This window comes from Homo sapiens, chromosome 15 (genome assembly GCF_000001405.40).
Source record: "Homo sapiens chromosome 15, GRCh38.p14 Primary Assembly".
Classification (NCBI taxonomy): Eukaryota; Metazoa; Chordata; class Mammalia; order Primates; family Hominidae; genus Homo; species Homo sapiens.
This window is the reverse complement of record NC_000015.10, coordinates 97,283,895-97,309,478: the sequence shown is the minus strand read 5'-3', so window position 1 is coordinate 97,309,478 and position 25,584 is coordinate 97,283,895. Positions and strand designations below refer to the sequence as shown.

At 36.9% G+C, this 25,584-nt stretch overlaps 2 long non-coding RNA genes across 5 annotated transcripts in view, besides 2 other annotated features; one reads left to right on the top strand and one right to left on the bottom strand.

Annotated features, from left to right (window-relative positions):
* The window catches only part of LINC02253 (long intergenic non-protein coding RNA 2253), a 197,799-nt gene that overhangs the window by 122,612 nt on the left and 49,603 nt on the right, over positions 1–25,584 (bottom strand). The window contains exon 3 of one of the 4 annotated variants that reach the window (NR_183855.1): positions 19,669–19,769. The exons of 2 other annotated variants lie outside the window; for them this stretch is intronic. This is a non-coding gene — a long non-coding RNA (long intergenic non-protein coding RNA 2253). Of the gene's footprint in view, positions 1–13,155; positions 13,547–19,668; positions 19,770–25,584 lie in introns of those variants that run through there. One more of the 4 variants, NR_183856.1, reaches the window with a different exon arrangement.
* LOC105371006 (uncharacterized) overlaps positions 1–25,584 on the top strand; it is a 47,150-nt gene that overhangs the window by 9,843 nt on the left and 11,723 nt on the right. The gene's annotated exons all lie outside the window — the stretch shown is intronic.
* Positions 12,869–13,510: an enhancer, noted in NCBI's record as "OCT4-NANOG-H3K27ac-H3K4me1 hESC enhancer chr15:97839199-97839840 (GRCh37/hg19 assembly coordinates)". NCBI's record gives its function as "activates a minimal SCP1, AML or CMV promoter by ChIP-STARR-seq in primed H9 embryonic stem cells {active_cell/tissue: H9 hESC(primed)}" and the evidence as "EXISTENCE:reporter gene assay evidence [ECO:0000049][PMID:30033119]".
* Positions 13,511–14,154: an enhancer, noted in NCBI's record as "OCT4-NANOG-H3K27ac-H3K4me1 hESC enhancer chr15:97838555-97839198 (GRCh37/hg19 assembly coordinates)". NCBI's record gives its function as "activates a minimal SCP1, AML or CMV promoter by ChIP-STARR-seq in naive and primed H9 embryonic stem cells {active_cell/tissue: H9 hESC(naive and primed)}" and the evidence as "EXISTENCE:reporter gene assay evidence [ECO:0000049][PMID:30033119]".

Sequence of the window (25,584 nt, the reverse complement as noted above, 5' to 3'; positions counted from 1 at the left end):
TTTTCCTAAAACACCATGTTCACTTCTCAACAAAAAATTGCAATGCAGACTAAAAGGAAAAATAGATAGTTTGAAGAGATTGAACAAGCATCAGAACCAGGATCAGATATGGAAGGAATGTTAGCATTAACCAACCAGAAATTTAAACAAACAAACAAAACTATGAATAATGGGCTCAGGCTTTTTATTTAAAAAATAGACAACATGCAAGAACAGATGCATAATGTAAGCAGAGACACGAAAATTTTAAGAAATAATCAAAAATCCAAAAGAAATGCAAGAGATCAAAGACGTCGTGTCTACTAGTTTTTTGTTGCTATAACTGAATACTTGGAGAGACTGGCAAATTTACAAAGAAAAGTCATATATTTCTTACAGTTCTGGGGGCTGGGAAGTCCAAGGTCAAGTGGGGCACATTTGGCGAGGGCCTTCTTGCTGATGGGGACACAATGCAGAGGGCTGAGGTGGTACAGGGCAACATGTGGTGAGGAGGCTGAGTGTGCTGGCTCAGGTTTCTCTTTCTAGTCCTATAAAGCCACTAATACCACCCCTCCTCATGACCTCCTCTAATCCTAATTACCTCCCAAAGGTCCCACTTAGTGAATACCATAGTCGTATTTCCCACCCCTTAATTCTATTACAATAGAGATTAAGTTTCACCATGAGCTTTGGTGGAAACAAACATTTAAACAACAGCACACTGTGACAAACATAAAGAATCTCTTTGATGGGCTCATTAGTAGACTGGACACAGTTGAAAGAATTTATGAGCTTGGGGATATTGTAATAGAAATTTTCAAAACTGAAAAAATTTTTTTTGAAAAAACAGACTAGAAACTGTAAGACAGTTACAAAAAGTGTAACATATGTGTAATAAGACTATCAGGAGAATAAATAGAGAAAAGAATAGTAGCAATATTTGAAGTAGTAATGACTGAGAATCAAAAAGAAGTCTCAGCTATATGTTTTCTACAAGAAACCTATGTTAAATAATACACATATGCATTGAAAGTAAAGGTTGAAGAAAGATATACCATGCTCAACTATTTAAAAGAAAAAAGGCAAAGTGCAGTGGCTTATGCCTGTAATCCGAAAAAGTTGTCAGGCCAAGGCAGGAGGATTGCTTGAGGCCAGGTGTTCAAGACTAGCCTGGGCAAAACAGGGAGACCCTTATCTCAACAAGTACAACAGAATTAACTAGGCATGGTGGTGTACACCTGTAGTCACAGCTTCTCCAGAGGCTGAGGTGAGAGTATTGCTTGAGACCAAAAGTTTGAGGCATCAGTAAGCTATGATGGAACCACTGTACTCCACACTGTGTGACAAAGCAAGGCTCTGTCTCTAAACAAACAAGCAAACAAAACAGAAAGCAAACAGGAATACCTCTATTAATTTCAAAAATACCAGAAAGTGAGCGAAGGATATGAACAGACACTTTGCAAAAGAAGACATTTATGCAGCCAACAAACATATGAATTAAGAGCAAGGAAATTTATTCGGGATAAGTGGGGGTATTACATAATGGTAAAAAGGTCAATATAGTAAGAAGGTATAACCATCCTTAATGTTTAGGCACTTAAAAACAGAGCATCAAAAATATAAAATAAAAACTGATAGAACTATAAGGAGAAAAAGTTAAACCCACTATTATAGTTGGAGACTTTAAACCTCCTCTATTCAAAATGGACAGATCCAGAAAGCAGAATATTATTAATAGTAAAGACATAGTTAGAATCAACACTACCATCAGTCAACTAGATATAATTGTCATTTATGCTCTGCTATATCCAATAGCAGCAGATCACATGTACTTCTCAAGCTTGCACCGAGCATTCATCAACACAGGCCACATTCTGGGCAATAAAACACACCTTAACAATTTTAAAAGAATAAAAATCACACATTGTCTTATTTCAGACCACAATGAAATTAAGCTAGAAATCAGTAATAGAAAGACAGCTAGAAAATCCTCAAATATTTTGAGAGTAAACAACCCACTTCTAAATACCACATGGGTCAATGAAGAAATCTTAAGGGATATTAAAATATTTTTTAAAACTTTCTATAAAAATTAAATTCATAGAAACAGAGAGCAGAAGGGTGGTTACCAGAGGTTGGGGGTTGGAAAATGGGTAGATGTTGGTCGAAGAGGACAAACTTTGGTTATTAATATAAGTTGAATAAAAGAGACCAAGTATCTGTCATGGTGACAATAGTTAATAATAATATATTGTATACTTATATCTTACTAAGAGGGTAGATCTTAGGTATTCTCACCAGACTCACAAATACGAAAAAGATAGCTATTTAAGGTGATGGATATATCAATTAGCTTGATTTTGATAATCATTTTCTGTGTATACACATCCAAAAATGTCATGTTATACACTCTGAACTTATACAATAATGTTCAATTATATGTTGCTAAAGGTTTGGGTATAGTTTGACCCTACCAAAAACATATGTTGGAATTTGATCCCCAGTGTGGTACGTTGGGAGATGGGGCCCAGTGGTAGATGTTTGGATCATAGAGGCAGATTCCTTATACATAGATTAGTGCCCTTTTCTAGGAGTGAGTTGTCATTCTCATAGGACTGAATAAGTTACTAGAAAGTGCATCGTTATAAAAGTGAGTTTGGCTTCCTCTCTCATCTGCCATGTGATCTCTTTGCACGTGCCCACTCCCTTTCCACTTTCTGCTATAAGCTGAAGCAGCAAGAGGCCCTCACCAAATACAGATGCCCAATCTTGAAATCTGAACCATCAGAATTGTGTGCCAAATACATATATTTTATTTATAAATTACCCAGTCTCTGGTGTACTGTTATAGCAACATAAAAAAGATGACATATGTCAGTAAAGCTGGGAAAATTTTTTAAATATTTTGAACTAAATGAAAATGAAAATGCAACTAATCAACATTTGTGGGATACAGTGAAAGCAGTGCTTAGAAATTTATAGCATTGAATACTTTTACCAGAAAATGAGAAAGATCTTAGATCAATACTCCAAGTTTCTACCTTAGGAAATTAGAAAAAGAAGAGTAATTAAGTCCAAAGTAAGCAGCAGAAAGGAAATAATAAAAATTAAACCAGAAATTAATGAAACAACAGAAAATCAATAAAACCAAAAGCTGTTTATTTGAGTAGATCAATAAAAGTTATAAACTTTTAGCCATGATAACTGTGGGGTTGAAGGGTAAGAGAGAGAAAACACAAATTACTAATATCAGAAATAAAAGATAAGTCATTACTACAGATCCAATGGACATGGAAAGGATAATAAAGGAATACTATAAACAAATCTAATTGCACAAATTTAGAATTTCACAAATTTGAAAAACTAGATGAAATAGACCAATTCATACAAAAAGAAACAATCTGAATAAACCAATATCTATTAAAGAAATTTATTAAACATTAATAAACTTCCCAAACAGAAAGCATTGTATTCAGATAAGTTCACTGGTAAATTCCATTATATACTTCAGAAGAAAATTGTACCAATTCTCTATAATTACTTCAAGAAGACAGAAGAAGATGGAATACTTCCTAAATCACTCTATGAATTAAACATTACATAATATCAAAACCAGCCAAAGATATTTTAAGAAAAGAAAATAACAGGCTAATATCTCTCATAAACATAGATTCAAAAATCCTCAGTAAAATGTAAGCAAATTAAATCCAACAAAGTATAAAAGGAATTATACCCACAACCAGATACGATTTTTCCCAAGTATGCAAGGCTGGTTCATCACTAGAGAATCGATTATTATAATTAATTATATCAAAAAGCTAAAAAAGAAAAAAGAAGCACATGATTATATAAATAGATGAAGAAAAAGCATTAGAAAGAAATAAACTGTTTGCAGATAACATTATTTTCTATGTAGATAGTCTAGAAGGATCTATTAAAAAACACCTGGAACTAATAGGCAATTATAGCAAGGTTGCAGAATACAATGTTCATACTCCAAAAGTCAACTGCTTTTTTATAAATCAGCAATAAACAAATGGAACTTGAAATTAAAACACAATATTATTTACATTACCATCCTCAAAATTAAATACTTAGGTATAAATCTAACAAGATATATATACAATATGAGAAATAATACAAAACTCTGATGAAAGCTGTCAAAGACTAAATAAATGGAGAGAGAGTCCACATTTATCAATAGAGCAAATAGTCAAGATACCATTTTTTCCAAACTAGGTCTATAGATTCAACCTAATTGCCACCAAAATCTCTTCAAGTAATTTTCTGAATATCCACAAAGTGATCTCAAAGTTCATAGAGAAAGGCAACAAATAAATAAATAAATAAAACAGTATAGCCAACTCAAAAGTGAAGGAGAATAAAGTTGGATTACTGACACTACCTCACTTCAAGACTTAGTATAAATCTTTATTAATTAAGACAGTGAAGTATTGGTGAAACAACAGACAAATAGATCAATGGAACAAAACAGAAAGCCCAGAAGTACATCCACATCAATATATTCAAATGATCATTGATTCCATGGACATGGAAATGATAATTGACCAAGGAATAAAAGCAATGCAACAGTCATTTCAACAAATGGTGGGACAAATGAACATCTAAATTAAAAAAAAAAAAGGTGTGGGGACAAACCCACACCTCCACACCCTTCACAATAATTAGCTCATAATGGATCATAACTAAAGTAAAATGCAAAACTGTAGAATTCCTATAAGAAAGTATAGGAGAAAATCAAGGTGATGTTGGGTAGGGGAATGACGTTTTAGGTACAACATTAAAGCCATGACACAAGAAAGAAAACTGATAGGCTGAACTTAATAAAAATTAAAAACTTCTGCTCTGTGAAATAAGTGAAGAGAATGAGAAGAAAAGGCAAAGACGGGGATAAAATACTTACAAAATATGTATATAATAAAGGACAGTTGTCCAAAATATACAAAGAACTCTTAAAATTCAACAGTAAGAAAGCAAACAACCCAATTTCAAAATGGGAAAAGACCTGAACAAAAAATTTTCTCCCATTCTGTAGGTTGTCTGTTCACTCTGATGATAGTTTCTTTTGCTGTGCAGAAGCTCTTCAGTTTAATTAGATCCCTTTTGTCAATTTTGGCTATTGTTACCATTGCTTTTGGTGTTTTAGTCATGAAGTCTTTGCCCATGCCTATGTCCTGAATGGTATTGCCTAGATTTTCTTCTAGGGTTTTTGTAGTTTTAGGTCTTACATTTTAGTCTTTAATACAACTTGAGTGAATTTTTGTATAAGGTGTAAGAAGGGGCCCAGTTTCAGTTTTCTGCATATGGCTAGCCAGTTTTCCTAACACCATTTATTAAATAGGAAATCCTTTCCCCATTGCTTGTTTTTGTCAGGTTTGTCAAAGATCAGATGGTTGTAGATGTGTGGTGTTATTTCTGAGGCCTCTGTTCTGTTCTATTGGTCTATATATCTGTTTTGGTACCATCTTCCCAGGAGGCATTGCTTGCTTCAGCCCAGGTCCCGAGGGGTAGGGCACAGCTATAACTGGGAGAGGTAGACTCCCTGTTGAAATGCTACCTGAATTCAAGGCTTACTATAAATCTTTATTAATCGAGATGGTGAAGTGTTGGTGAAACAACAGACAAATAGATCAATGGAACAAAACAGAAAGCCCAGAAGTACATCCACATCAATATATTCAACAGATCATTGATCCCATGGACATGGAAATGATAATTGACCAAGGAGCAAAAGCAATGCAATAGTCATTTCAACAAATGGTGGGACAATTGAACATCTAAATTAAAAAAAAAAAAAAAGGTGATGGCTCCATTGCAACTTGGCCCCATGGAAGAGGATGTAGCAGCAGTTTGGCTCATTGATGGTGGTCCACCAGGCAGGGGTGCTTGAGCACTGGAATGGAAGGGTACTGCAGCCACTCATCCCTGGAGCAGGACACCCTCTAGCAGTAGTTCCAGTTCCAAGAAGGCATAATACAGTAGCTGTTTGACCACAGTGGGTGAGGTACAGTGTCAGCTCCTATTCTGGGGGAAGCACAGCTGTGTGGACTCAACTGGGCTTACTGCCTGTGAGGACATTTTCCTGCATGGGGAAGTCCCTCCTGGTTCTAGCTGCTCCTGGATGGGAAATGGGGTGGTGGAGGCCAGGTGTTTACTTCTGTTCTCTGTGGCCATCCTGGATTTCTGTTATCCAGAATCTACAAGGAACTTTAACAAATTGACAAGAAAAAAAAACAAACAACCCCATCAAAAAGTGGGCAAAGGATATGAACAGACACTTCTCAAAAGAAGACATTTATGCGGCCAACAGACATATGACAAAAAAAAAAGCTCATCATCACTGGTCATTAGAGAAATGCAAACCAAAACCACAATGAGATACCATCTCATGCCAGTTAGAATGGCAATCATTAAAAAGAAGTCAGGAAATAATAGGTACTGGAGAGGATGTGGAGAAATAGGAATGCTTTTATACTGTTGGTGGGAGTATAAATTAGTTCACCATTGTGGAAGACAGTGTGGCGATTCCTCAAGGATTTAGAACCAGAAATACCATTTGACCCAGTCATCCCATTACTGGGTATATACCCAAAAGATTATAAATCATTCTACTATAAAGACACATGCACACGTATGTTTTTTGCAGCACTGTTCACAATAGCAAAGATTTGGAACCAACCCAAATGCCCATCAATGATAGACTGGATAAAGAAAATGTGGCACATATACAACATGGAATAGTATGCAGGCATAAAAAAATGAGTTCATGTCCTTTGCAGGGACATGGATGAAGCTGGAAACCATCATTCTCAGCAAACTAACACAGGAACAGAAAACCAAACACTGCATGTTCTCACTCATAAGTGGGAGCTGAACAATGAGAACACATGGACACAGGGAGGGGAACATCACACACTGGGGCCTGTCGGGGGTGGGGAGGCTGAGGGAGGGATAGCATTAGGAGAAATACATGTATCCCAGAACTTAAAGTATAATAATAAAAAAGTGGTAAAAAATAAAATAAAATAAATACATGAACATACATCTCACCCAAGATACACAGATGGCAAGTAAGGATATGAAAAGATGTTCAATACCACAGGCCATTATGCAATTGAAAATTTAAATAAAAATGAGACATCACTACTCACCTATTAGAATGGCCCAAATTCAAAATACTGCAATTCGAGAGTAATGTTAGCAAGACAGCCAACTAGAAGCGCTTAGTTCTGGTCTTCTCACCCCAGAAAGACAGTCAAAACAATAAACAACTACATTTTGATTAAAGTAACCAAAGGAGAACACTTGAGTACCTCAAAGGAGTAGCAGGAACCCTGTAAAGCACAGAAACCCAGGATGGCCACAGAGAACAGAAGTAAACACCTGGCCTCCACCACCCCATTTCCCATCCAGGAGCAGCTGGAACCAGGAGGGACTTCCCCATGTGAGAAAATGTCCTCACAGGCAGTAAGCCAGTTGAGTCTACACAGCTGTGCTTCCCCCACAACAGGAGCTGACACTGTACCTCACCCACTGTGGTCAACACAGCTACTGTGCTATGCCTTCTTGGAACTGGAACTACTGCTAGAGAGTGTCCTGCTCCAGGGATGAGTGGCTGCAGTACCCTTCCATTCCAGTGCTCAACCACCCCTGCCTAGTGGACCACCATCAATGAGCCAAACTGCTGCTACATCCTCTTCCATGGGGCCAAGTTGCAATGGAGCCACCACATGTACCTCTCCCAGTTACAGCTGTGACCTGCCCCTCGGGACCAGGGCTGAAGCATGCAATGCCTCCTGGGAAAATGGTGCCCTGGCAGAGCCACTCCATCTACCTAGGCAATGGTATTGCCTAGGTTTTCTTCTAGGGTTTTTAGTTCTGGTCTCCTTACCTCAGAAAGACAGTCAAAACAATAAACAACTACATTTTGATTAAAGTAACCAAAGGAGAGCACTTGAGTACATTAAAGGAGTAGCAGAAATCCTGCAAAGCACAGAAACCCAGGACGGCCACAGAGAACAGAATTAAACACCTGGTCACACCCTGCCCCTTGTGGCTGAGCTGAAGTGGCAACCTGCCTCCTGGAAAAACAGTACCTTGGCCACCCAGAGCAGTCATGCTCCTCCAGTGTGTGAGTTGAATCTGTACCCTGCCTCCTGAGAAATGGTGCCTTGGCCATCTAGAGCAGCCATGCTCCCCTGCGCTTTAGCGGAAGCAGTGCCTTGCATCTTAGGGAAAAACTGGCTTGGCCACCCAGAGCAGTCACATCCCCTGGGTTTGAGCTGAATCAGCACATCACCTCCTGGGTAATTAATGCCTTGGCTAAGCCAAGCAGCTCTGCATCCTAGGGACGGTCAGATGTAATAATCTGTAACCTAGGGAAACAGCATCGGCTGAGTTGAGACACTCTGCCATACAGACCAAACAACCTTAGTGCTCTGTTTTTCTAGAACTGGACTAACTCCCTAGTGTCTGAACTGCTGTGATACCTCCTTTATAGAGACTGGAGTAATCACTGTGCTGCTCCTTACCCTCTAGGTCACAAGAGACAGCTATATTCCCCCATTCAGTGTTGCCACTCCACCTGGCCTCACAGAGTCTGGGATATTGATGTATTCTGTCGTCCCAGGGTTCAGAGTCACCATGACATGATGCCTCATTGCCAGAGACTGAGTTGCCACTGTGCCCTATTGGCTCTGGTTGCCAAATTACAACTGTACTCTGCCCCCTGGGCCCAAACCTCCAGAACATTCCTTTTTCTCCAAAGCTTGGCCAATGCTATAACTTGTTCCCCTGCCTCTCATGATTACAGTCACAGCTACTACCTGGGTTTCTAGGCCCAAGCTGCTAAGGGGTGCCTCAGAGTCACAGATACCCAAGTTCTGTGGGCAATCTACATCCACTTGTTACTCACAGAGTTAACCTGAACTCCAAGACTCAGGTGCCACAATTGGTTCACAAGATTCTGAGCCTTGGTCCCTGGCTCCACGCCACTCTAGCACCTGTACTCTAAAACCCAGAGCTACTACAGCTGCTTATGGCAGTGTCAGACCCAACACCGGAGGGATGCCTTTGGCTAAGTCTCCTTATAGGGAGGGAAATTGAGAATAAGAAGACCTCAAACATCTTTGCCATCTAGGACCCTAAAAACCTATGCTGCTGCTGCCACAAACTCATACAGCCTAGGCCACAGAGGCATTCACAGTCATCACTGACATTGATCACAGCTGAAGATGCTGCATAGAAGCTATTCTCCTGTATCTACTTGGAACGAGAGCCACCATACTTTTCCCCATTGGCGCATGAAGACCCAACTGCAGGTTAAAGTCCTTCTGTACAAAAGCTACTTGGTAAAGTTTGGAAGAAGTAATTTTTTTCATGAGATGCACATAAATCATTGCAGGGACAGGACAACTATGAAAAAGCAAGAGATTATGACACTATCAAAGGAACACAATGATTCTCCACAAAGAAAAGGAAGTTTACAAATTGCCTGAAAAGGAATTCAGAATAATGATCTTAAGATAACTCAGTGAGATACAAGAAAATACAAATGCACAATTCAAGAACATCAGGAAAAAAATTCATGATCTGAATGATAAATTTAACAAAGAGATATTATTAGAAGGAAACAAAACACTTGGAGATGCAAAATTTAATGATTGAAATAAAAATGCAATAATGAGCTTCAACAGCAGACTAGATTAAACAGAAGAAAGAATCTCTGAACTTGAAGATAGGTCTTTTGAAATTATCCCATCCTTCATCTTGGTAACTGCAGGACTTATCAAAGTACATTATATATTCAAGAAATGTTTATTGAATTGAATAAACTAAGATACCAACAACAAAATAAATTACCCAGTTGAAGAGAAAAAAAAAGAAAAAAAGAATGAAAAAGAGCAAAGACAACTGCAAGACTTATAGGACACCATTAAACAATCAACCTTTTGCATTAGGGAAATTTTAAAAGACTTAGACACGAAGATAAAAACAGCTGATTTAATAAAATAATTCCTGAAAACTTCCCAAGGCTTGAAAGTGAAATGGACATCCAAACACACGAACTGCAGAAGTCCCCAAACATATTCAACCAAAAAAAGAGATCATCACCAAGGCACATTATTATTAAGCTGTCAAAAGCCAAAGATAAAAAGAAAATTTTTAAAGCAGCAAGCGAAAAGTATCAGATCATATATAAGGGAATTTCTGTTAGACTATCAGTAAATTTTGTAACAGAAACCCCTACAGTCTAGGAGATAATGGGATAATATTTTCAAACAGGCAAAAGAAACAACAACAACAACTGCTGTACAAGAAAACAAATAGAAATACAAAGCCGTTCTTCAGAAACGCAGGAGAAATAAAGTTTTTCTCAGACAAGCAAAAGAAAATTTGTCACCACTATACTCGTATTACACAAAATGCTTAAAGAAATTATTTAAGTCAAAACAAAAAGATGATAATTACTAACATAAAAACATATAAAAGTATAAAACTTACAAGTCAAGATAAATATATAGTCAAATTTCAAATATCCCAATACTGTTATGGTGCTTTCGTTCACATTTTTCTCTAGTATGAAGGTTAAAAGTCAAAACAGTAAAAAATAATGATGGCTACATTAAGTTGTTAAGAAAACCATAATATAAAAAGGTATATATTGGGACATCAAAAAAATAAATTACAACGAGGAGGGTAAAAGTCTAGAGTTTTTGTATACAAATGAAGTTAAGTTGTTAGCAGCATAAAATAGTCTATTATAACTATAAGGTATTTTATGCAAACCTTATGGTAACACCGAAGCAAAAAACTGTATTCAAGGAAAGAAGGAATCAAAACTCAGTACTAAAAAAAAACAAGTGAAAAAGATAAACAACAAGAGAGGGAGGATGAAATAAAGGATTTACAAAACAACCAGAAAACAATTAACAAAATGGCAGTAGTAGTCCTTATGTATCAATAATGACTGAAAATAAATGAATTAAATTATCCAGTCAAAAGAAATAGAGTGACTGAATGGGTTTAAAACGGACAATATCCAATTATGTGCTTCCTATGAGAGATGCACTTTAGCCCTAAGGACACACATAGGCTGAAAATAAAGGGATAGAAGAAGATATTTCATGCAAATAGTAACCAAAATAAAGCAAGAGTTGTTATACTTTTAACAGATAAAATATACATCAGGTGAAAACCTGTTACAGGAAACAAAGAAGGTCATTATTTAATTATAAAGGGCTCAATTCATTAAGAAGACATAACAATTGTAACTACATACACACCCAAGATCAAAGCTCCTAAATAAATCTAAATAAATAAAAAATAAATCTTAATGGACATGAAGAGAGAAATAGATAGAAATACAATAATAATAGGTGAGATCAGTACCTCATCCTCAACAATGTACCCATCAACAAGAGAGAAAATTAATAAAGGAAGAGTGGAATTGAATTGCACTAGAGACAAAATAGAACTATGAGATATATACAGAATGTCCATCCAACAGCAGCAGAATACACATTCTTCCTTGATGTACACATGCAACTCTCCCCAGAATAGACCATATAACAGTCCACAAAATAAGTCTTAACACATTTTTAAAAATCAAAATCATATCAAGTGTTCTTTCTGACCACTATTGTATGAAACTAGAAATAAATAACAGGAAAGGCTTTAGAAAATATGCAAATATATGGAAATTCCACATCATGTTTCTGAACACCCATTAGTTCAATAAAGCAATTAAAAGTAAAATTTAAAAATTTCTAGAGATAATTAAAAATAAAAACACAACATACCAAAACCTGTGGGACCCAGCATACTCAGAACTCAGAGAAAACTTTATAGCAATAAATGCCCACATCAAAAAAGAAAAAGATCTAAAAAAATAAACCTAAAGTTTCACTTCAAAGAACTATAAAACAAGAACAAAGTAATCCCAAAATTAAGAGAAGGAAAACATAATAATAAAGATCAGAGCAGAAATAAATGAAATAAAGACTAAACTAATAGAAAAGATCAACATGACAAAGATTTGTTTTTTTAAAAAATAAAATCTAGAACTATAAATCCTTTAGCCAAAGTAACTACAAAAAAGGGAAAACTAAACGAAATCACAAACACAAAAGGAAACAATAATATACCACAGAAATACGAAGACTAATACAAAAATATTATGAACACCAATATGCTAACAAATTGTAAAACCTGGACAAAATGAATAAATCCCTGGACATACACAACCTATTAATATTGAATCATGAAAATAATTAGGAAACATGACCAGACTATTAATGAGTAATTAGATTGACTCAGTAATAAAAAGTCTTCCATTAAAGGAAAGCTGAGGGCCTGATGGCTTCCCTGCTGAATTCCATCAAACATTTTGAGAACAACTAATACCAATTCTTCTCAAACTACTCCTAGAAAAATAAAGAGGAGAAAATTCTTCCAAACTCATCTTAGAAGCAAGCACTACTGTGATACCTAGACAAGGACACAACAGCAACAACACTACAGGTCAATATCCCTGATTAACAGATGCAGAAATCCTCTACAAAATACTGGCAAACTAAATTCAATAGCACATTTTAATAAATCATTCACTAGGACAAAGTGGGATTCACCCCACGGATGCAAGGATGGCTCAACATACACAAATCAAAAAACATTTGCATGACATTAATGGAATTAAGGACAAAAACCATATGATAATTTTCATAGAGGCAGAAAAAGCATTTGACAAAATTCAACAACATTCATGAAAAACCCTCAACAAATTAGGTATAGAAGGAATGTATCTCACCACAATAAAGGCCGTATATAACAAATTCACAGCTAACATTATACTGGACAGAGAAAAGTTGAAAGCTTTTTCTATAAGGTCTGGAACTAGAGAAGGATGCCCACTTTCACCACTTCTACACAATACTGTAGTGGAAGTCTTACCCAGAGCAATTCAGCAAGCAAAAGAAATTAGATTTCTAATTACTCCATGAAAAAAATGAATAAATTCAATAAAGCTGCAGGATATGAAATCAACACACACAAATCAGTAGTATTTCTATATGCTAATAGTAAACTATCTGAAAAATAAATCAGGAAAACAATCCCATTAGCAGTAGCTACAACAACAACAACAAAATAAGATACCTGGGATTACAGCCAAGATGGACGAACAGGAACAGCTCGGGTCTACAGCTCCCAGCATGAGTGACGCAGAAGACAGGTGATTTCTGCATTTCCATCTGAGGTACCGCGTTCATCTCACTAGGGAGTGCCAGACAGTGGGCGCAGGACAGTGGGTGCAGCGCACCATGCGCGAGCCAAAGCAGGGCGAGACATTGCCTCACTCGGGAAGCGCAAGGGGTCAGGGAGTTCCCTTTCCTAGTCAAAGAAAGGGGTGACCGACGGCACCTGGAAAATCGGGTCACTCCCACCCTAATACTGTGCTTTTCCACGGGCTTAAAACACGGCGCACCAGTAGATTATAACCCGCACCTGGCTCGGAGGGTCCTACGCCCACGGAGTCTTGCTAATTGCTAGCACAGCAGTCTGAGATCAAACTGCAAGGCGGCAGCGAGGCTGGGGGAGGGGCGCCCGCCATTGCCCAGGCTTGCTTAGGTAAACAAAGCAGCCTGGAAGCTCAAACTGGGTGGAGCCCACCACAGCTCAAGGAGGCCTGCCTGCCTCTGTAGGCTCCACCTCTGGGGGCAGGGCACAGACAAACAAAAAGACAGCAGTAACCTCTGCAGACTTAAATGTCCCTGTCTGACAGCTTTGAAGAGAGCAGTGGTTCTCCCAGCACGCAGCTGGAGATCTGAGAACCGGCAGACTGCCTCCTCAAGTGGGTCCCTGACCCCTGACCCCCGAGCAGCCTAACTGGGAGGCACCCCCCAGCAGGGGCACACTGACACCTCACACGGCCCGGTACTCCTCTGAGACAAAACTTCCAGAGGAATGATCAGACAGCAACATTCGCGGTTCAGAAAAATCCACTGTACTGCAGACACCACTGCTGGTACCCAGGCAAACAGGGTCTGGAGTGAACCTCTAGCAAACGCCAACAGACCTGCAGCTGAGGGTCCTGTCTGTTAGAAGGAAAACTAACAAACAGGACATCCACACCAAAAACCCATCTGTACATCACCATCATCAAAGACCAAAAGTAGATAAAACCACAAAGATGGGGAAAAAACAGAGCAGCAAAACTGGAAACTCTAAAAAGCAGAGCGCCTCTCCTCCTCCACAGGAATGTAGTTCCTCACCAGCAACGGAACAAAGCTGGACAGAGAATGACTTTGATGAGTTGAGAGAAGAAGGCTTCAGATGATCAAACTACTCTGAGCTACAGGAGGAAATTCAAACCAAAGGCAAAGAAGTTAAAAACTTTGAAAAAAATTTAGACGAATGTATAACTAGAATAACCAATACAGAGAAGTGCTTAAAGGAGCTGATGGAGCTGAAAGCCAAGGCTCGAGAACACCGTGAAGAATGCAGAAGCCTCAGGAAACGATGCCATCAACTGGAAGAAACGGTATCAGTGATGGAAGATGAAATGAATGAAATGAAGTGAGAACAGAAGTTTAGAGAAAAAAGAATAAAAAGAAACGAACAAAGTCTCCAAGAAATATGGGACTATGTGAAAAGACCAAATCTACGTCTGATAGGTGTACCTGAAAGTGATGGGGAGAATGGAACCAAGTTGGAAAACACTCTGCAGGATATTATGCAGGAGAACTTCCCCAATCTAGCAAGGCAGGCCAACATTCAGATTCAGGAAGTACAGAGAACGCCACAAAGATACTCCTCGAGAAGAGCAACTCCAAGACACATAATTGTCAGATTCACCAAAGTTGAAATGAAGGAAAAAATGTTAAGGGGAGCCAGAGAGAAAGGTCGGGTTACCCACAAAGGGAAGCCCATCAGACTAACAGCGGATCTCTTGTCAGAAACTCTACAAGCCAGAAGAGAGTGGGGGCCAATATTCAACATTCTTAAAGAAAAGAATTTTCAACCCAGAATTTCATATCCAGCCAAACTAAGCTTCATAAGTGAAGGAGAAATAAAATACTTTACAGACAAGCAAATGCTGAGAGATTTTGTCACCACCAGGCCTGCCCTAAAAGAGCTCCTGAAGGAAGCACTAAACATGGAAAGGAACAACCGGTACCAGCCACTGCAAAATCATGCCAAGTTGTAAAGACCATCAAGGCTAGGAAGAAACTGCATCAACTAACGAGCAAAATAACCAGCTAATATCATAATGACAGGACCAAATTCACACATAACAATACTAACCTTAAATGTAAATGGGCTAAATGCTCCAATTAAAAGGCACAGACTGGCAAATTGGATAAAGAGTCAAGACCCATCAGAGTGCTGTATCCAGGAAACCCATCTCATGTGCAGAGACACACATAGGCTCAAAATAAAAGGATGGAGGAAGATCTACCAAGCAAATGGAAAACAAAAAAAGGCAGGGGTTGCAATCCTAGTCTCTGATAAAACAGACTTTAAACCAACAAAGATCAAAAGAGACAAAGAAGGCCATTACCTAATGGTAAAGGGATCAATTCAACAAGAAGAGCTAACTATCCTAAATATATATGCACCCAATACAGGAGCACCCAGATTCATAAACCAAGTCCTGAGTGACCTACAAAGAGACTTAGACTCCCACACAATAATAATGGGAGACTTTAACCCCACTGTCAACATTAGACAGATCAACGAGACAGAAAGTTAACAAGGATACCCAGGAATTGAACTCAGCTCTGCACCAAGTGGACCTAACAGACATCTACAGAACTCTCCATCCCAAATCAACAGAATATACATTTTTTTCAGCACCACACCACACCTATTCCAAAATTGACCACATAGTTGGAACTAAAGCTCTCTTCAGCAAATGTAAAAGAACAGAAATTATAACAAACTGTCTCTCAGACCACAGTGCAATCAAACTAGAACTCAGGATTAAGAAACTCACTCAAAACCGCTCAACTACATGGAAACTGAACTACAGGGAAACTGATCAACCTGCTCCTGAATGACTACTGGGTACATAATGAAATGAAGGCAGAAATAAAGATGTTCTTTGAAACCAACGAGAGCAAAGACACAACATACCACAATCTCTGGGACACATTCAAAGCAGTGTGTAGAGGGAAATTTATAGCACTAAATGCCCACAAGAGAAAGCAGGAAAGATCCAAAATGGACACCCTAACATCACAATTAAAAGAACTAGAAAAGCAAGAGCAAACACATTCAAAAGCTAGCAGAAGGCAAGAAATAACTAAAATCAGAGCAGAACTGAAGGAAATAGAGACACAAAAAACCCTCCAAAAAATTAATCAATCCAGGAGCTGGTTTTTTCAAAGGATCAACAAAATTGATAGACCGCTAGCAAGACTAATAAAGAAGAGAGAAGAATCAAATAGATGCAATACAAAATGATAAAGGGGATATCACCACTGATCCCACAGAAATACAAACTACCATCAGAGAATACTACAAACACCTCTACGCAAATAAACTAGAAAATCTAGAAGAAATGGATACGTTCCTCGACACATACACCCTCCCAAGACTAAACCAGGAAGAAGTTGAATCTCTGAATAGACCAATAACAGACTCTGAAATTGTGGCAATAATCAATAGCTTACCAACCAAAAAGAGTCCAGGACCAGATGGATTCACAGCCGAATTCTACTAGAGGTACAAGGAGGAACTGGTACCATTCCTTCTGAAACTATTCCAATCCATAGAAAAAGAGGGAATCCTCCCTAACTCATTTTATGAGGCCAGCATCATCCTGATACCAAAGCCGGGCAGAGACACAACCAAAAAAGAGAATTTTAGAACAATATCCTTGATGAACATTGATGCAAAAATCCTCAATAAAATACTGGCAAACCAAATCCAGCAGCACATCAAAAAGCTTATCCACCATGATCAAGTGGGCTTCATCCCTGGGATGCAAGGCTGGTTCAATATACGCAAATCAATAAATGTAATCCAGCATATAAACAGAGCCAAAGACAAAAACCACATGATTATCTCAATAGATGCAGAAAAGGCCTTTGACAAAATTCAACAACCCTTCATGCTAAAAACTCTCAATAAATTAGGTATTGATGGGACATATCTCAAAATAATAAGAGATATCTATGACAAACCCACAGCCAATATCATACTGAATGGGTAAAAACTGGAAGCATTCCCTCTGAAAACTGTCACAAGACAGGGATGCCCTCTCTCACCACTCCTATTCAACATAGTGTTGGAAGTTCTGGCCAGGGCAGTGGGGCAGGAAAAGGAAATAAAGGGTATTCAATTAGGAAAAGAGGAAGTCAAATTGTCCCTGTTTGCAGATGATAAGATTGTATATCTAGAAAACCCCATTGTCTCAGCCCAAAATCTCCTTAAGCTGATAAGCAACTTCAGCAAAGTCTCAGGATACAAAATCAATATACAAAAATCACAAGCATTCTTATACACCAATAACAGACAAACAGAGAGCCAAATTATGAGTGAACTCCCATTCACAATTGCTTCAAAGAGAATAAAATACCTAGGAATCCAACTTACAAGGGACGTGAAGGACCTCTTCAAGGAGAACTACAAACCACTGCTCAATGAAATAAAAGAGGATACAAACAAATGGAAGAACATTCCATGCTCATGGGTAGGAAGTATTAATATCATGAAAATGGCCATACTGCCCAAGGTAATTTATAGATTCAATGCCATCCCCATCAAGCTACCAAGGACTTTCTTCACAGAATTGGAAAAAACTAAAGTTCATATGGAAGCAAAAAAGAGCCCGCATCACCAAGTCAATCCTAAGCCAAAAGAACAAAGCTGGAGGCATCAAGCTACCTGACTTCAAACTATACTACAAGGCTACAGTAACCAAAACAGCATGGTACTGGTACCAAAACAGAGATATAGATCAATGGAACAGAACAGAGGCCTCAGAAATAACGCCGCATATCTACAACTATCTGATCTTTGACAAACCTGACAAAAACAAGCAATGGGGAAAATATTCCCTATTTAATAAATGGTGCTGGGAAAACTGGCTAGGATATGTAGAAAGCTGAAACTGGATCCCTTTCGTACACCTTATACAAAAATTAATTCAAGATGGATTAAAGACTTAAACGTTAGACCTAAAACCATAAAAACCCTAGAAGAAAACCTAGGCATTATCATTCAGGACATAGGCATGGGCAAGGACTTCATGGCTAAAACACCAAAAGCAATGGCAATAAAAGCCAAAATTGACAAATGGGATCTAAGTAAACTAAAGAGCTTCTGCACAGCAAAGAAACTACCATCAGAGTGAACAGGCAACCTACAAAATGGGAGAAAATTTTCACAACCTACTCATCTGACAGAGGGCTAATATCCAGAATCTACAATGAACTCAAACAAATTTACAAGAAAAAAACAACCCCATCAAAAAGTGGGCGAAGGACATGAACAGACACTTCTCAAAAGAAGACATTTATGCAGCCAAAAAACACATGAAGAAATGCTCACCATCACTGGCCATCAGAGAAATGCAAATCAAAACCACAATGAGATACCATCTCACACCAGTTAGAATGGCAATCATTAAAAAGTCAGGAAACAACAGGTGCTGGAGAGGATGTGGAGAAATAGCAACACTTTTACACTGTTGGTGGGACTGTAAACTAGTTCAACCATTGTGGAAGTCAGTGTGGCGATTCCTCAGGGATCTAGAACTAGAAATACCATTTGACCCAGTCATCCCATTACTGGGCATATACCCAAATGACTATAAATCATGCTGCTGTAAAGACACATGCACATGTATGTTTATTGCAGCACTATTCATAATAGCAAAGACTTGGAACCAACCCAAATGTCCAACAATGATAGACTGGATTAAGAAAATGTGGCACATATACACCATGGAATACTATGCAGCCATAAAAAATGATGAGTTCATGTCCTTTGTAGGGACATGGATGAAATCAGAAATCATCATTCTCAGTAAACTATCACAAGGACAAAAAACCATGCACCACGTGTTCTCACTCATAGGTGGCAATTGAACAATGAGAACACATGGACACAGGAAGAGGAACATCACACTCTGGGGACTGTTGTGGGGTGGGGGGAGGGGGGAGGGATAGCATTAGGAGATATACCTAATGCTAAATGACGAGTTAATGGGTGCAGCACACCAGCATGGCACATGTATACATATGTACTAACCTGCACATTGTGCACATGTACCCTAAAACTTAAAGTGTAATAATAATAAAATAAAAAAAATAAGATACCTAAAAATAAATGTGACCAAGAAGGTGAAAAATCTCTCCACTGAAAACTATAAAACACTGATAAAGGACATTGAAAAGAACACAAGTGCATGGAAAGATATCCCATGTTCATGGGTTGGTAGAGATAGTATTGTTAAAATGTACATACTACCCATACTACCCAAAGTGATCTACAGATTCAGTGTATCCTATCACAATACCAACAACATTCTTCACAGAATTACAAAATACTGAAGGTACCAAATGCTGGTGAGGAACACACAGTTATTTCTGGTAAGAATTCAAAATGGTATCACTACTTTGAAAGACAATTTTTTTTTAACCAAACTAAACATACTCTTACCTTATGATCCAGCAATCGTGCTCTTTGGTATTTACTCAAATGAGTTGAAAACTCATGCTCACACAAAAACCGGCACACAGCTTTATCTATAGTTGCCAAAACTTGGAAGAAACAAGATGTTCTTTAGTAGGTGAATGGATAAACTGTGGTACATCTGACAGTAGATTGAGCTCTAAAAAGAAATTGGCTATCAAGCCATGAAAAGATATAAAGGAATCTTAAATGTATATCACTAAGTGAAATAATCCAATACTGTATGATTCCAACTACTCTATGACATTCTAGAAAAGGCAAAATTACAGGGACAGTAATACGATTGTCAGTTCTCATGGATTGATCAAAAGGAGAAAACAGGCGGAAACTGGAGGATGTTTAGGGCAGTAAAATCATTCTGTATGATATTGCAATGGATATATGTCATTATAAGGTTGTCCAAACCCACAGAACGTACAACATCCAGAGTAAACCCTAATGTATACTATGGGCTCTGAGTGGTAGTGATATGTCAATGTAAGTTCATCAATTGTAATAAATGTACCACTGTGGTAAGGGATGTCAATAATGAAGAGGGTTGTCATGTGTAGGGACAAGGGGCATATGGAAACTTTATACTTTCTGCTCAATTTTTCTGTGAACACAAAATTTCTTTTAAAAAATCAAGTTAATAATCGAAAAGAAAAAATGTATTGCTGCTTCTTTATATATTTATCATGAATATAATTTTACTTTAAGAAATGCAAATAATAAAAAAAGCGTAAATAGAGAGAAAGAAACTTTAAGCACAGATTCTTACATCTTGCTTCTGAGCTAAGATTCTAATAGGAATGGCACTTAAATGAGAAATCGATACCTAATCATTTTCAAACTCTCCAAATTAGCACCTTTATCCAATTATAGGCCTGCAAGGCAATCTGTTCCAAAAAGAAACACAGTATAAATAGTCAACATGAGTTCAACAGACTAAAACATGTGTGTCCCAAATTGCTGGATTTAGGTCATTATATTTTTCCAGGCAGCTAATTTTCCCCTTTGAAGTGCTCACAGAAGGTCAGAAACAGTTTAAGCATCAAAGCTTTATGAATTAAACAGTTTCCTCGCGAACAGAGGAAGGCGGCTTTGCCTGCAGAAACACTATTGTGAAGATCTCTGGCTAACCTTCAACTAGGATGCATTCCACAATGGGGAGATCAATAGCCCACAGTCACCCAGAACAGATTTCAAGATTTTTAATACAACTGACCCTTTACACATAAAATGCTCACATCTTTAACTCGGAATGCTGCTGATTCCAACTATTTCATTTCTGCTTACTGATTACTTGGAGGAAAGCATGGTGGTAGAAGAGGTGAAGATAAGTGTGAATGAAAACAAGCCCCAGGCAATTTTCTCAAATAACTACACATATACACTGCAAAATCCTATGAAGTCTATTACATATATTCTTTTCCACACAATTGGCTGACCACAATACATTCCTTTTCTCCCTCATGATAAATATGTTTTATCATAGCACAGAATGCCTCCAATGTGAACCTTGCTTCTGCTCATTGCTAGATCTAGAGTATCCTGCAGCGTTCAATAAACACACCTGGTTGTGTCCATCGTATGAAAGAGTGGATTGAAAGCCAACGTTTTAGAGTTTTACTTGGTTAAATATCTGTATCTCCTGTCAACTGGTGATATTTCATAGTGGAGGGAAAAAAATAATTTAAAGGGGATTAAGTATCTTCAGATGAATTTTATTTTATTTTATTTTTTGTTTCACATATAACCTGGAGCCCACAATTAATAACTCTTCTAGTTTCTGTTCTGGTTCTAAGCATTTTTCCTAGCTCTTCAGTTTGCCACTTTGCCATTTTTTTCTTTCAGTGAAATTCTTTCTTCTTGAATCAACCTTTTTTCTTAGACACATCTTGAAGACCTACCTCAGAAGGCAGTCATCTGAGTGGAAAGGCCATGGGCTTTGGCTTGGGACAGAGATGGTTTCTGTATGGGCTGTGTACTGTCTGGGCCCTCATGGGTCTCAGTTTCCTGTCTCTAAAGTGGTGTGTTGTGAGGATTGTATCGTGCGAAGAACATTATATTGTTCAATGGGTGTTATCTTTATTATTATACAGTTTAAACCTTATCAGATGCTTTAATCTACTTCTCCAAATCTCTAACAAATGTTTCCCCAACTATAATTTGATTACCTCCACTGCTGCATTACCCCTGCACGCAGCTCAGATTATTAAAAAATACAAATTTTATAGAACTAAAATGTGCCTCCTACAAGCTTATGCCAATTGTTTCCACGTTTTCTCTTTAAATGACAGAAAAAAAGTCTATTTTTTTCATTTAGTGATATTTTGTAAGTATCAAATGTATATCTAATATATGAAAGATGTGATAGATACTACAGAGAGCTTCCATATACCCGACACGAGTTCCTCCTGTTGAACTAATAGACTAATATTAATATATTAACTAAAGTTCATATTTTATTCAGATTATAAATATTTTTTTCCTAATGACCTTTTTCTACCCCAGGAACCTATCCTGGAAAAAGATCATTAGGAAACTGCATTAGGTACCACATCACATGTTGGCATCATGCCTCTTCTCAGTTTTCCCTGGGTTGTGATCATTTCTCAGACATTCCTTGTTTTGGATGACATTAACCACTTTGAGAAGTACTGGTCAAGCATCTTATAGAATGCCCATCAGTGTGGGCTTCTCTGATAACTTTTTCATGGTTAGAGTGGAGTTGTATGCTTTTGGGGAGGAAGACTAAAGAGGTAAGGTGACATTTTTATCATACCATATAAAGATCCATGCTATCAACATGACTTATAATAATAGTTGGTGTTGACCTTGGTCACATGGCTGAGGTTTTTCAAGATTCTGTAGGGTAAATTACTTCTTTCTCTCTTTTGATGTGTACTCTTTGGAAAAAATGTTGGATGTGGAGCCCACAATTAAGGGATAGGAAGATACCTACCACATACCTGAGGGGCCAATAGCTACAGAATTTATTTGGAATTTACTGCACTAGAGATTTGTCTCTTTATCCCAATTTATTTATTTATTTATTTATTTAATCATGTAAAAATGGCTGTGTCTTCCTTTGTTTTGATTCTGACCTCACTATATTTGGCAGCTATTTCTTTTACTCCATGGCTTGTGGGAACTCCTTTCTAGTTTCATTTACCATGAGTAATTCCACTATGCTTTTATTTTTTCCAGTTGGCTTCAGAGAAGAGTGCGGGATTAAAAACCCCTTTAATTCATCATTCTTAACCACACATTCCTGCAATTTATTTTATTTTTAGTCATAGACCCATCCCAGGAGGAACTATTATTAATGCTTTACAGACAAACATTTGAAATGTTTTCCTGAACTGCATACACGCCTTATTTCAAAAACAATTAACTTACAATTTGCATAATATTCTATATATCTTTCATCTTTAAGCAATATATCTGGGACAATTTTTGATACCATGAATATATACATTAATCTCATGTCTAAATCATTTGCCTAACATTTCATTATATTGATTTGACATATTCTTTTATTGTTAAGTCCTTCAGATAGCCTCCAAGATGTTTTCATTATAAATATGTAAACAAATCTTGTGAGTTTTTTAAAATCAAGATTAATTTCTAGGTGGAGAAGGGTATACATATTTTAAAATTTGGTTGCTTGAAATAGAAATGTACTAACTGACACACCCATCGTTAGTAAAAGTAAGTATCAATTACCCAACACTTCACCCATTACAGTGTGAAATTATTATAGGAATCATTATAGAAAATATTACATGCTGCTATTTTTTTAGCATTTGCATTATTACTAATTATGTTGTACATTCTTCTTACATGTTTTTGGCTATTTGTATTTTTTTTCTGTTGTGAAATATCTATTTAGACTCTTGGCCATTTTTCTTTTGGGTTATTTGTCCTTTCACATATCTTGACAGGAAACATTCATAGATTATTTTTCCTTCTCTTGTAGTATATATTCATACATTTTGGCCTATGTAATTGAACTTTATTTGTGATTTTTTAACATTAAAATCTTTTTATTTTTTAGGATTCATAATTGACCTATAATATATGCACATTTGACAATCTTCCCTGTTAAGAGTTTCTGGGTTTCACATCATAATTAGAAAGTCTTTCTTCGTTTTAGAATTATATAATGTTTTCTAAATTACTTATTAAGATTTATTCATCTCTCCTAGAATTTATTTTGTTATAAGGAACAAACATTATGATTATTCCATTTATTCTGTTTTTACCTAATACTGTTACAAATTTTATTTTATCAGTAATTTCTACTATAAATTCCTGACTGAGGAGAATGACCTAAAATTTCTTGTCATCGGTCACTGAGCAGCTTTGCCCTTCACAGAATAGAACCACATTCATAAATCGTGACATGCAAGAGAACTTTATAACACAAAATATACAATTCACACTGAAGTTAGGACATGTATGCATACATTTTTTTCTGCATTAAAAAAATCACCAAATATTTATAATCCAAAGGCATAGAACAATAAATAATAAAAATCTTAGTAGAAAAAGAACTAATCTGCCTCTGTCCATGTTGGACTTAGTGCAAGCACACAAAAGATTATAGCCATAGGGAATTAAAGAATCATTTATGAGAAAAATAAAATGGATGCCATTCATAGCCTAAAACTACAATACACCTTCTTCTAAAATGTCCATGGAATAAAATATCATCTGATTTTACTAATATATTACACTGAAGATAACTTCAATAAATTATAAAAGGTAAAAATGGTATAAGTCAATATTCAGATCACAATAAAACAAAAATGAAAACAAAAACAAAACTGGAAAAGGAAGTAAACCAATTGCAGAATGGGAGAAAATATTTGCAAACTATGATCTGACAGGGGACTGATATTACGAACTTACAAGGAACTCAAACAACTCAACAACAACAACAAAAAACCCTCAAATAGCCTCACTAATATGTAAGCAAAAAACATGAATAGATATTTTTCAAAAGAAAACGTGAATGGCCAAAAAGCATATGAAAAAGTGCTCAACATAATAACCAGAGAAGTGCAAATTAAAATCACAGTCAGATACCATCCTACACCAGTCAGAAAGGCTGTTATTAAAAAGTAAAAATCAACAGGTGTTGGCAAGGATGCAGAGAAAAGGAAACACTTATATATTGTTGGTGGGAATCTGAGTTAGCACAACCTCTATCAAAGACAGTATGGAGATTACTCAAATAACTACAATAGAGCTACCATTCCATCCAGCAATAAAATACCACTACTGGGTATCTTCCCAAAGGAAAAATAAATAATTATATCAAAAAGACATTTATATTCTCATGTTCATCACAGTACTATTCACAATAGTAAAGATTTGGAATCAATCAAAGTGTCCACCAACAGTTGAATGGATAAGGAAACTATGGTATATATACACAATGGAATACTATTCAGGCATAAAAAAGAATGAAATCATATATTTTGCCACAACATGGATGGAATTGGGGGGCATAAACTTAAGTGAAACAACTCAGAAACAAAGTCAAATGCTGCGTGTTATCATTTATAATTAGAAAGTAAATAAAGTGTACACATGGACATAGAGTGTGAAATAACAGACACTGAAGACTTGAAAGGGTGTCAGGACATTGGGGCAAAAGGGAGAAGTTACTTAACGGGTAGGGCCTACATTCAGGTGATGATTACACTTAAAGTCCAGACTTCACTGCCATGCAATATATCCATGTTACAAAACTGGACTTCTACCTATTAAATTTACACAAATAAAAAATATTAAATTCTCAAGTTTTTGATAAATTGGAAATAAAATTCAAAATTAAAGAATATTCAGAAAGAAATATAATATAAACACTAAAATATACAAGTATATGGC